Consider the following 13686-nt stretch of genomic DNA (forward strand, 5'->3'; position numbering starts at 1 on the left):
AATTGCTTTATTTTGCCACACTGTCTCTCTCACCCCTAAACCTGACTGATATTTGGTTGAATATGCAATTCTAGATTCAAAATATTTTTCTGTCAGAACTGCCTCCTTGTTCTAGCATTTAATGTTGGATATGAGAAGTCCTATGCTTGTCCATGCTGTGGTTATTTGATTAACTTAATGTAATACCACTGTTGGACATTAATAGGTTTTTGGGACTCTGTGTGTTTGTGTGTGTGTGTACACAATATGTCACAGGTAGTTTATTATATATAATTATATTTAGCTTCTTGTAAGAAAACATATTAGTCCCATGAAAGAGTTTTTGTTGTTAAAGCAAGTAATTGAGCTTCATATAAGGCTGTCAGATCCTCCAGCTTGAGCTGGTCAGCCTTTACTATTGTAGTAGTACTGGGGTCGTTTTATCTTTTATTCTTTATTCCAAACACATTGGCTCAAAGTCCCAGCTCTGCTCTTGAGGACAAGCTCTGCCCTCAGCAGAAGATGTGACATTGTCATATCTGCTCAACTATCATATAATAGTATTCAAATTACTGAAATGTTACATGCTTTATAAAGTTTTTTTTTAATGAGGAAAATTGCCCAATTAATATTTATGTTTGTATGTGGTCATGGATAATTATGTTACCTGATAAGGGAGAAAATTTTCAGTTAGCAGTTAGAATTGGGTCAGCCAGCTTTTTCCTTTAGGAAATAAATGGATTAGATAAATTTAAGTATAAATATTCCTCTGGCTTTGAAAAAGCTAATAACTAAAGCTATTCATACAACGAACTCATGTAACCTGGGAAATACACATGAAACAAAAGATATCTTTTCACTTCAATTAGATTGACAAAAATTAAAAGTCTAATTATAGTATGTATTAATGAAGAATATAAGGAAACAACTCTCCAGGCCTTGTGGTACAGTAAATCCGTACAACCACTTTGAGAAGCAACTTGGCAACATCTTGTAAATTAAAAAACAAAAAACAACAAAAAACACATGTTCTGCAGCTGAAAACATCTTCCAGGTGTATGTTCATGAGATTCTCAGGCACATATTTACAAAGATATGTATGAAGAAATTCATTGCAATATTGTTTATTAAAAATAATAATTGAGGAATTAAAAGTTTATATACAGACTAATGAAAACATAAGTAAAATATTAGCAGTTAAAATGGAAGAATTAGATGTGTGTTTGCCAAATACATGTTGAGTGAAAAAGCAAGTTTCAAAGGGCTAACATAGATACTGTGCTTTTTCTTTTTTTTCTGCCCCCTCCCTACCCCAATACTGTGCTTTTAAAGTACATTTTTGAAAGACTAAAAAATTATTTATGGAAAAATATATGTAGAAAAAGGATGAGTAGACTGAAGGGATTAAACCTTCAGAATGATATTTTGGTATTTTGTTTCTCAAAATATTCTTTATTTTTATTTATTTATTTTTGAGATGGAGTTTTGCTCTTGTTGCCCAGTCTGTAGTGCAGTGGCATGATCTCGGCTCACTGCAACCTTGGCTTCACAGGTTCAAGCGATTCTCCTGCCGCAGCCTCCTAAGTAGCTGGGATTACAGGTGCCTGCCACTACACCTGGCTTATTTTGTATTTTTAGTAGAGACGGGGTTTCACCATGTTGGCCAGGCAGGTCTTGAACTCCTGACCTCAAGTGATCCACCTACCTTGACCTCCCAAAGTGTTGCGATTACAGTGTGAGCCATCATGCCCAGCCTGAAAATATTTTTTTTTGTTAAATGAGATGAGACCAATTTGATTTCATTTTTGAAAATTTCAGTTTAATAGTAAGTCAAGTCTAAGTTTTGTTTGTTTCAATTCTTGGTTTTACTGGATGCTGTAGCTCAAAAAGAGACCTCAAAATGACAGATCATAGATCCTAATAAAAGGAGTGCATTTCTTTTTCTTTCTTTCGTTTTTTTTTGAGATAGAATTTTGCTCTTGTTGCCCAGGCTGGAGTGCAGTGGCGCGATCTCAGCCCACTGCAACCTCTGCCTCCCAGGTTCAAGCAATTCTCCTGCCTCGATCTCCCAAGTAGCTGAGATTATAGGCGCCTGCCACCACACCCAGTTAATTTTTTGTGTTTTTATTAGAGACAGGATTCCACCATGTTGACCAGGCTGGTCTTGAACTCCTGACCTCAGGTGATCCACCTGCCTCAGCCTCCCAAGGTGCTGGGATTACAGGTGTGAGCCATGGCGCCTGGCCAAAAAGTGCATTTCTGATGGATGTATGCTGATTATTAAACTCACCTCCTAACCCCCATCTCTGCCCTGTGAGGCTGGACTGGTTCTGCACACTGTATTTCTCCTTTGCCAGTTGGATCCCTGTTGGCTCTGCCAGTAGGAGGCACTAGAGGGAGACTGGAAGGCTGGATTGGGGATCTGACTTGCTCTTTCCTGTGTGGTATCATTCCACCCAGCAAGCTGGGATGGGATGTTGATTTCCCTATCAGTATTTGATTTTAGTTTGCATACAGTAGTCCCCCTTTATCCATCCTCTTGCTTTCCTCATTTTCAGATACCTGAGGTCAACCATGGTCTGAAAATATAAAATCAGAAATTCCAGAAATAAACAATTCATACATTTTAAATTGCATACTATTCTGAATAGTGTGATGAACTCTCCTGCCTGGGACCAAATCTGTCACCGTGTCCAGCCTCCCCACACTGCCTATGCTGCCCACCTATTTAGTCACTTAGTAGCTGCCTCTTATCAGATCAACTGTCATGGTATTGTGGGGCTCGTGTTCACATAACCCTTACTTGACTTTATAATGGCCCCAAAGCTGAAGAGCGGTGATGTTGGCAATTCAGACAGGTCAAAGAGAAGCCATCAAGTGCATCCTTTAAGTAAAAAGGTGAAAGTTCTCAGGGAAAGAGGAAAAAATCCTATGCTGAGGATTCTGAGATCTACAGTAATGAACCGTCTATCCATGAAATTGTGAAGAAAGTAAAAGAAATTCATGTTAGTTTTGCTGTCACATCTTAAACTACAAAAGTTAGGGCCACAGTGCCTAAGTGCTTAGTTAAGATGGAAACGGCACTAAATTTGTGGGTGGAAGATGTGAACAGAAATCTGTTCCAGTTGGCAGCAGTTGGGTTCACTGTTATCTGCACTTTAAGGCATCCGTTGGGGAGTATTGGAAAGTAGTCCCTTTGGATGAGGAGGGTCTACAGTATTTCTGACAACAACGAAACTCTACTCTGCACCCTCCTCCGGGACACCTGTATCAGCCAGTCATAGCACCTCTTTAAAGGTCTGCATCCTAGTTCCTTGGGACCCCTTCTTTAAGTCATTTTTTTTTCATTGTTTCCCCACTTCTAGGGGTGGTGTATTATGTGGTTTGTCTTGTTTAGCTTGTCTTATCATGTCTGGGAACATAGTTACAGCAATTTAACCATTTCCTCAGATGGAACTAGGAACACAACATTTTTTATCTTTGTAAGCCTGTAGATTAGCACTACGTAGTGTAAACAGGTTCTTGTGAACTAGTCTGATACCTAAGTTATCTTTAAACTTTTGTTTCTGAGGGAAAATGGGTTCTGAATTGTAAACAACTGGCTTTTTTTTTTTTTTTGAGACAGAGTCTCACTCTGTCACCCAGGCTGGAGTGCAATGGCACTATCTCGGCTCACTGCAACCTCTGCCTCCCAGGTTCAAGCGATTGTCCTGCCTCAGCCTCCTGAGTAGCTAGGATTACAGGCGCGTACCACCACGCCCAGCTAATTTTTACATGATTTCACCATGTTGGTCAGGCTGATCTTGAGCTCCTAACCTCGTGATCCGCCTGCCTCAGCCTCCCAAAGTGCTGGGATTACGGGCGTGAGCCACCGTGCCCGGCCAACAACTGGCTTTTATAAAATGGACTTGTGGAACACAACCAAGATAAGGTAGTATTTAAATTAGTGGAGGAGATAATGTCATAAGAAATGGAAAACAGCAGATAGTCCAGACATTCATTTTTGGCTTTGGAATACTTATTTATTTATATATTTATTACTTTTTTAAAAGCAAATTTACTTTCATGGATATTTGCTTGGGTTAGAATTCGTTTATATTCTCAGAGCACACTTACGATAAGAGTATTTGGTTTCCTCAGGAGTGGATTTATTGTCTTGATGATAATTTTATTCCTAAACCAACAAGAAATGGAGCAGAGACTTTGTAATATTAAAATAAATTATTGTTTAATTTGTGGCAGTTTTGCAGGGCTAGTGATAATAAATCCCGAGAGCTTTGAATTGAAATATTTTACATCATGGTGCCTTACTCATCCCTTACCCCCCAGTTTCTTTGCAGGGGATAGTAGAAAATGCAGTAGCTTAGGAGCCAGGAAATCAAGGATTTTATCAATTGAGACTATTAACTAGTGGAATGGATTAACATTTACTGAGCTCCAGTCATGTGTCAGGCATTGTATACTTTATCTCGTTGTTTGTTAGGCTTCATTTTATTGATGATAAAATAGGCCATGAGAAATAAACTAACTTGTCCAAGACTCCACAAGTAATAAGTTAATGGTGGAGATTCAAATCTTGGTCTGTCAGTCATTTTTTTCCCTCCATTTCGAGCCTTCATTCATCACCTGTAAAATGAAATCAGAGTAGTTCAAGGTACACAGGTGTTCTGCTTCTAAAATCAAATTATGAGTTTTTACCAGTTAGTGCAGTTATTTCAAAATGTATAAAATTCTTTTTTTTATTTTTTTTTGAGATGAAATCTTGCTCTGTCACCCAGGCTGGAGTGCGGTGGTGCAATCCTGGCTCGCTGCAACCTTTGCCTCCCGGGTTCAAGTGATCCACCTGTCTCAGCCTCCCAGGTAGCTGGGATCACAGGCGTACACCACCGTGGCCGGCAAATTTTGTATTTTTAGTAAAGATGGGGTTTCGCCATGTTGGCTAGGCTGGTCTCAAACTCCTGATCTTAGGTGATCTGCCCACCTGGGCCTCCCAAAGTGCTGGGATTACAGGCGTGAGCCACCGCACGTGGAGTCAAAATGTATTTTCTTAATTTTATGTTTCACCTCATTAATTTTTTGACTCCTATGTAAAAAAATGCCAAAAATATAAACAAATCCATTATTAAAATTGCCAGTTTTATGTCTAGTTTTGAGAACTTGTTTCTTTTGGAATGTGTGTGGCATTATGCATACTTGTAATAGACTGGCAGAGGCTTCCAAAATAGAATAATTTGTCTAACAGAAAAGGTATGAAGGAGTTGTGAACTTTGGGTGACACATTCACAGACATTTTCTTTTTTTCCTACATAATCCTTTAGCAGCTCAAGACATTTTCTTAATGCATTTTCTTAATGCAACTCTTACTATGGTAAGAGTTGGAAGTAGATGGTGTGGTGGTCAACTACACTATTTACATTAACTTAAAAAAGACAGTCTTTTAGGCCATGCGGTGGCTCACGCCTGTAATCCCAGCACTTTGGGAGGCTAAGGTGGGTGGATCGCTTGGGGTCAGGAGTTCGAGACCAGCCTGGCCAACATGGTGAAGCCCTGTCTCTACTGAAAATACAAAAATTAGCCGGTTGTGGTGGCACATGCCTGTTATCCCAGCTACTTGGGAGGCTGAGACAGGAGAATCTCTTGAACCTGGGAGACGGAGGTTGCAGTGAGCCGAGATCATGCCACCGCTCTCCAGCCTGGGCTACAGAGTGAGACTCTGTCTCAAAAAAAAAAAAAAAAAAAAAAAAAAAAAGACAGTCTTTTTTTTTTTTTTTGGGACAGGGTCTTACTCTGTCTCCCAGGCTGGAGTGCAGTTGTGCGATCTCGGCTCACTGCAACCTCCGCCTCCCTGGTTCAAGCAATTCTCCTGCCTCAGCCTCCAAAGTTGCTGGAATTACAGGCTCATGCCACCACGCCCGGCTGCTTTTTTGTGTTTTTAGTAGAGACAGGGTTTCACCATGTTGACCAGGCTAGTCTCAAACTCCTGACCTCAAGCGATCCACCCACCTGGGCCTCCCAAAGTGCTGGGATTACAGATGTGAGCCACCACACCCGGCCAGTCTTTTAACATTTTAAAATATGTCTGAGATTTATTTGAATATTGAAATAGGATTTAATAACTTATACTCTAAATCCAGTAGAGTGCATGGGGGAACATGATGCCCTAGATACGTAATTATTCTTTAAATAAGATCCATGCTAGGTGCGGAAGAAAAACCACAAAAAACCGTGGTAGAGTGAATGAAGTGCTTTAAGAGGCCATGTTTTGTGATCAGACCCAGTTGGGTTTGAATTTGAACCTGCCACTTACTAATGTTGTGTGACTTCAGGCAGGTTACTTGTCTGAGACTCAGTTTCTTCATCCATAAAATGGGGATAACAATTGCTTACTTTTTAGAATTGTTGGGAAGGTTAAATAAAATGTGTGTAAAGAACCAAGCTTGGTACTAATAGATAGTGGCTGGTATTATTAATAACAACAATCCTATTTTCATTAATTTAGTATTTCTCTAGAGAAAGGAATGTGGACTTTACCAACCAGCTGGCAGGTCACAAAGGCCTTGCCCTCACTGGGAATTTTAATTAGAGTTGAGGCAATTTCTAAACCAGTTAAATATTTTGATGGTTCAGGGAAAATAAGATGGATATTCTTGTTGGTTAACCCTCCTTAGTCTCTGTAATACTTTTTGTTACATTTGATTTGCGGTTAAAGTTGAATGAATCCATAAATTAGAATTTCTTGGTTTGTTGAATGACATCAACAGTTATGCCACAATAAGTAGTTACATTTAAATAAAGGTTGACTTGTAAATTTTTTTTTTTTTGAGACAGAGTCTCACTCTGTCACCCAGGCTGGAGTGCAATGGCGTGGTCTTGACTCACTGCAACCTCCGCCTCCTGGGTTCAAGCAATTCTCCTGCCTCAGCCTCTCAAGTAGCTGGGACTACAGGCGTGTGCCACCACACCCGGCTAATTTTTGTATTTTTAGTAGAGACAGGGTTTCACTATGTTGGCCAGACTGGTCTTGAACGCCTGACCTCGTGATCCACCCGCCTCGGCCTCCCAAAGTGCTGGGATTACAGGCATGAGCCACCGCGCCCAGCTGACTTATAAATTTTTTTTGATGTTAGGTGAAATCTTTGAATTTGGGCAAAGTTTAGGGTATAGTTAGGCACCATACTAGTCTAGAAGGACTGTTTCTTTTTTAAAAAAGTTTTAAAATTTATTACATAACATTTAATGTATACAAGTGAATAAATGAGTAATATAACCAATAACTGGGAATCCATCTAGAAAGAAAGCATTACTAATAACATTTGAACACCCTTTGTAGTATTTCTCACTTGCATTCTTTCCCCTCCTCGCCTAAGGTAACCAGCTGTCACAAATTAGTTTTTATCATTCCCATGAGTTTCTTTATATTACACATTTGTCTATATCTGTAAATAATAGTATTGTTTCAACATTTTGTATTCTATACATATGTGTGTATATATATGTGTATATATATATATGTATATATATATTTTTTTGAGACGGAGTTTGGCTTTGTAGCCCAGGCTGGAGTGCAGTGGCGTGATCTCGGCTCACGGCAGCCTCCTCCTCCTGGGTTCAAGCGATTCTCCTGCCTCAGCCTCCCGAGTAGCTGGGACTACAGGTGCGCACCACTGGGCCCAGCTAATTTTTGTATTTTTAATAGAGACGGGGTTTCACCATGTTGGCCAGGCTGTTCTCGAATTCCTGACCTCTTGATCCGCCTGCCTCGGCCTCCTAAAGTGCTGGGATTACACTTGTGAGCCACCGTGCCTGGCCTTTGTATTCCATATTTAAAAAAATTCAGCATTATGGTGAAGGGTATGTCCATGTTGAATTGCGTGGCCGTTGAACATTCATTTTTGGTATTCCATTGTATCCCTAATATATGTATCCATTCTGTTGTTAATGAACAATTATGTTGTTTACTTTTTACTTTTGCTATTATACGAAGTGATAATTTAGAGATTTTTGTTCTGTTGAAGCACTTCATATGTATTTAACTGCTTGTAGTGAAAACTCTACTTTTCTCTTTCAGCCATCATTTCTACCCAGAAATTTAACATTTTACTTAAATCAGTGCTTTGTGAGTTTGAGCTATTTTCATTAGGTCTCTGAAGAATGTAGTTATTGATCTTAAGCAACATGTTTTACTATTTTCATAAAATTTTCCAACAAAAATACTTCAGCTATACAAATTCTCTAAGTTGTTAAACTCAGGCAAGATACCATTAAAACTTAGAGCAGATGGTCATTTGAGTATTAGTAGAATGGGTCAAAAGCTGTCATCAGGTGGTTCATTTAACGGCGGCAGATGTCTTCATAAAGCCTAGCAAAGGAAAAGGGCATTAACTCCTTAGGGTAATATGGTATTCTATAGAAAGGAAAAAAAAGAACTTAATGGATCCAGTTAAGGAATTAAATTTTATGAAATAAAAATTTTAAGGAAAAACTGTTGCCAGGGCTAATGGTTTTAGATGAAAATGAATTGGGTGGATGTAGTGAGGGAAACAAAAAAGCTACCACTGTACAGTAAGAGATTAGTAAAATGTTGGTCTTGTTTATTTAATGCCCTTTCTTCTGTTTTATGTTTTCTTTAAATACCAACTTTTGTTTTGAAGTCAATTAATTGTATTCTCATTAAAAATTCTGTAGTGCTCATTTTGGTAGTGGAATGGGTTGCTTTGTTTACATTTTTCAATTCTTAGTGTTAGTCTGTTTCACAGCTGTTCAGTAGCTTTGTTGGCATTTGAAGTGTGGGAACCAAGAAAGCATTTGGATGTGCTTTTGTGTGCATTAATGGTTTTCCTGAGGTATTCTTTAAAACCATGAATTATAGAATTTTTTTAACCAGTTGTCATGTGTGTTTAAATGGTTCCTTTTAAAGAAAGCCTGTACACAGATTATGAGCTCATGACTGTTATCATTGTATGTTGTGGAAAATGAACTTAGAAATGAAAAATATGTAAATGAGGCAGTGGTTGCAAACTGGACAGTTTTTTTCTGTTGAATGGGGTAGTTGGGATACATTTTCCCTACGTCTTTCATCAACCAAGTCACATTTGAAGAGCTGCACAGTCAGTTAATTCAGGATAAACTTCTAAGTGTGCAGTGAATACTGATTTGTTTAGTCTATTTTACTTTTTTGTGATGATGGAACTAAATCAGATTTATTTTAGACCTTGTTCAGAAACTTAGCCATTTTGTGGACATTTACTGTCATTGGTATTTGATATTAATTGTGGTATTTTTTGTCGGCTTTCCTGTGCTAAGACAGATACAGTTATTAGAATCTGATTTCAGGTGTTTGGCAATGAGGTTGCTTTAAATCAATATGTAATCAATTCCATATAATGTCCATTTTGGAAAAATAATTTTATAATTATTTCTATATTATTGCTTCTAACACAAATACCAAAAGTTTACAAAATTAGTTGCAAAACTATTCTCGGTCACACAAAGTGGTTTTTTTTTTTTTTAAGGTAAATTGTGAAACCCATAAACAAAAAGATTTTGAAGAACTGTCATAATTGTCTGGTGCAGGGCTATTAAACTGAATATTAAATTTTCATGAAACTGCCATTTGTAAAGAGAAGTGCCAACAGTAACAATCCATTTAATTAGTTTTTTAAAATTCACACTTTAATACTGAAATACAGGTATACCTCTGTTTTATATAGGCATTATACACAGTTCTATTCCTGGAAGACCAAATGTATATTTAAAATGGAGGAGAGGCATGCCGGATGTTATTTTTCAAAGATGGCCACACCAGTCTACATCCCATCCCACCTGCTCTTCTTAGGAGACAATGACATTCCACCTAAAGAGGCTGCTTCCCTCCCTCAGTGGACCTGGGTGGACATTTGTAACTGCCTCAATTAATAGAGTATAGAGGAAGTGACACTGTGAATTCTGAGGTTTGGTCACAAAAGGCAAGGCAGATGTCGCTTGTCTGTCCATGTCTGTCTGTCTGTCACTGTCTTTCCCCTCAGGATTCACAACCTGCCTGCACCGGGAGCTCTGAGCCAATGCTGAGAAAACATAAAAGTGCTAGGTTAAGAATTGAGTAGTATATTTTACCATTTTAAGGAAAGTCTTTCTAAGCACGAAGCCTCAGAAGTTACACACATGCCGATGAGAGCACACATAGAAAATGTGTACCCAGAAAACAATCTGGAAACCCCCACCAAACTGCTAATAATGGGTGGGAGTACACGGTGGGGGGGACTTTCACATTTTGTTCTGTATGCTTTTGAGTTGTTTAAAGTTTTATTATAAGTGTGTTATTAATTTTATAATTTTAAAAAGAAAATAGGAAATACCAATTTTTTCCTCTCAAATTGGCACAGATTAAAAATACTACTTCAGTGCATGTTAAAGATGTGTCAAGAAAGCCAGTCAGATACTGCTGAAAGGGAAATATAAATGGATACAATCTCTATAGAAGGCACTTACAGAGTGTTTCAAATGCCATCAAAAACTTTGACCCTGCCTTCAATGTTTTAAAAAGGCACATTCAAAGATACTTGTTTGTGGCAGATAAAGACAAAAAGTTAACATAACCAGTGTTGAAAATATGGGACTATTATTATGTAAATTATGTTAATTAACAGAGGGAAATTCTATACAATTATTAAACCATGTTGTAGAAGAATTATTACTGACATGGTAAAATACCATTTTTAAAGTAGTTTGCAAGGAACTACAATGTGACATTTTTGCATCTAAATTGCATAATACATGTAATATAAAAACTAGAAAGGTAATTCCCTGGATGTGCTGATGGGATTAGCCTTTGTGGTTTTCCAAGTTTTCTACACTGAGTGTATATTAATCCTAGGAAGCAGCTGGGTGAGTAGGAGCATTTAACATGAAGTATAAGCATCAGAGATGCCATGTATGCCACTTTAAACTAAAAACAAACAAAAACAGGAAGGAACCTAAGCAAATCTTTACAGAAACCAACTTTCAAATTACTTTAGTTACTTTAGTAATATGGTATATAATTGCTATTTAGAAGTTTTTATTTATTTTAATCTTTTAATTCACAGATGAATAATTAAATGTTCCCCATATACAGTCTCTGAAAAAATTTAAACTTTTATTAAGCTCTTTGATTTCTGTATAAGTATTGCAAAATTTGTCTGGGATAGGTGATGATTCTGATTATGATATTATTTAAATAGATGACTAGTGCATTTACTAAATCTATATTAAGATGAAGTTAAGTGCAGTATAATTCTTTATATGTATATTTTGCTTTAAAGTTTTTGAAAGTGTGTTTACCTATCACTTTAATTTTTTTCTGTTTTTTTTTTTAAATGAAGTTTCTGTTTCTAGGAGTTTCTAACAATTTAGCCTCACAATGTCTCTTTCCATGTGAAAGGAAGTGTTTTCTTAATTTATAGATGAGAATATTGGTCCCAGAGTATTTAAGTTGATTTTGAATATTAAGTGGATAGTAAGTTATACAAGTAAATTCTTAAATCACATACGCTTGTTTTTACCATTTGAGGTAGCAGTTTTACCATATTGTATACAGGTTAGAAATCATGTCTGATCTTGTTAATTTCTAGCGTAACTCTATAATTTATCTCCAAGTCTCTGGCTGTATTGCATGTTTCTGCTAAGCAAAGTCGTTCCTGGTTCATTGAACATACTCTGCTTTTCTGTGATTTCTTCCTTTCTTAGAAAGATCTACTCGTCCATCATTTCTGTGGAACTTTTCCTGATTTTTTTTCCTGTTTAGTTTCTAAGGCGAGTTTCTATCAATGGAGACCTGGGCTTGTATTTTTTTATTAGATATTCTTATTTTTTGTTGGTGACTCCCTTCTTGTTTTTAAGCAGAGCAGTTCTAGATTTCAGTTTATTATACTGTTTAATTGCTAAATATTTCTAATACTTAACCTGTTTCCTCTTGAATGATCTCGTTTAGACTTTCTCATTTATATCCTCTACATCTTTTGTCTCCTGACCCATAGCTACCAAGCCCTAAATATCTCTGGAACCATTTCTCTCAATTTCTACTGTCAACACCCTAATTTAAGCTACCATTATCTTAGCTGGACTGCTACTAACTTCTTTTAATCTGACTCCCTTTCTCTAGCCACTTTTACTTTTTTCATATCTTTTTTCTCCACACTGCAGCAGGAGTGATTTTTTATTTTTTTTATTTTTTTTATTTTTTTGAGTTAGAGTCTTAGTTGCCCAGACTGGAGTGCAGTGGCATGAACATGGCTCTAAGAGTGATACTTGAAAGCAGCAGAGGGCATGCCTGCAGTAGTAATAAAGAAATAGTTCTGGATGAATCAGTAGCCACTCATGTCCACTATCTTCTGTCCCTACAGTCAAGCATTTATGTGACAGGAGACTGCAGAAGGATTGCACATAAAACATATTTGGTGTTGGGGTATCAGGCTTTTTTGTAGTCCACTAGGTATCCCAGTTCTTTCAGGTGTTCGTTCCCTTCCTCCTTCCTTCCTTGCTTCCCTCCTTCCTGCCTTCCCTCCCTCTTCCTTCCTGATCCTTGCCCCTCCCCTCCCTTTCCCTCAAAACAGGCATACCACTCAGGTTTGGCCCTTTGTTTAGAATCTGGTTATCTGAATATAGAAAATGAATAACATAGGGTTTGTTTTTCTTTCTTATCGGGAAGTACCCAGTAGTGTATTATATTAGTAATATGACCACTTTTGTACTCTAGTTTTTACATATGTAGCATGTTACTTGATTTTTAGAACACGTTGTCTCACCTTTAAAGAATATATTACATTCCCCAAAGGGGACTGAGGTTGTGAGAATGAAAGGGCTCCTTTCTTCTATTTAATTATGGAAATGTTCTAAATGGATACAAAGAGGAAGATAATGTAATGAACTCCCATGTACCCATTACCCAACTTCAGCACGGCTAATCTTGTTTTACCTAAATCCCACTTTACTTCCCCTCTGCCTCCCTCCAGTTATTTTGAAAAAAAAAACAAAACAAAACAAAACAAAAAAACCCCACATTATTTTATACGTAAATACTTCTGATAAAACGACCTTTTCAAGGACATAAAAGTAAATACAGACGGAGTCAGAACTTGAATCCAGGAGAGTGTCACTTTTGGACAGATAATACAGCCCTTGCTTGGTCAGCATTGAGCTTGACCATCCAGGATGTGTTTATAAAGTAGTGACACTGATGTTGACAAGCCACACATTGTTGAAAAAAAAATCCTAGTTTTTATTTATTGAACAAGTGATATTAATATAACAATAGAATAGTAAAGGAGTATTACCCCCAATTATTTCACCTGAAAATGAAGGTTGTTTTCATTACTTATATTGGTACCTTTTATAGTTCTAATGTCTGTCTCATTCATCCATGTGATTAATTTTAGTGGAGGTCATTTTACCAAGTGTTTATTTTTTCTAGAGCTTATTATTTCTTGTTTCCTAAGGGGATAAAACCCCACTATAGTGTATTGTTTCCTTTAAAATAGGGAAACTTGCTTCCTAATCATTTTCTAACTTTTCCTGACTATGGGAAAAACTTGTCAATATCTAAGGGTGGTAAATGCTTAGGTTAATTGATAGTTTGTTTCCATGATATCATGAAGGCAAAATGGTCTTTTCTTTTGGAGTAATTGTTTACCTAGAAAATAGTTGAAAATTCTTTCAAAGATTTCTGAGGTT

At 37.2% G+C, this 13686-nt stretch overlaps 1 protein-coding gene across 5 annotated transcripts in view, besides 1 other annotated feature; it reads left to right on the forward strand.

Moving 5' to 3' along the window:
- MIB1 (MIB E3 ubiquitin protein ligase 1) overlaps window positions 1–13686 on the forward strand; it is a 166038-nt gene that overhangs the window by 46837 nt on the left and 105515 nt on the right. The window lies entirely within an intron of this gene.
- Window positions 7239–10209: an enhancer, noted in NCBI's record as "VISTA enhancer hs1650". NCBI's record gives its function as "enhancer in: neural tube[5/7] | hindbrain (rhombencephalon)[5/7] | midbrain (mesencephalon)[5/7] | forebrain[5/7]" and the evidence as "EXISTENCE:transgenic organism evidence [ECO:0001131][PMID:17130149]".

This window comes from Homo sapiens, chromosome 18, assembly GCF_000001405.40.
Source record: "Homo sapiens chromosome 18, GRCh38.p14 Primary Assembly".
In the NCBI taxonomy this organism is placed as follows: Eukaryota; Metazoa; Chordata; class Mammalia; order Primates; family Hominidae; genus Homo; species Homo sapiens.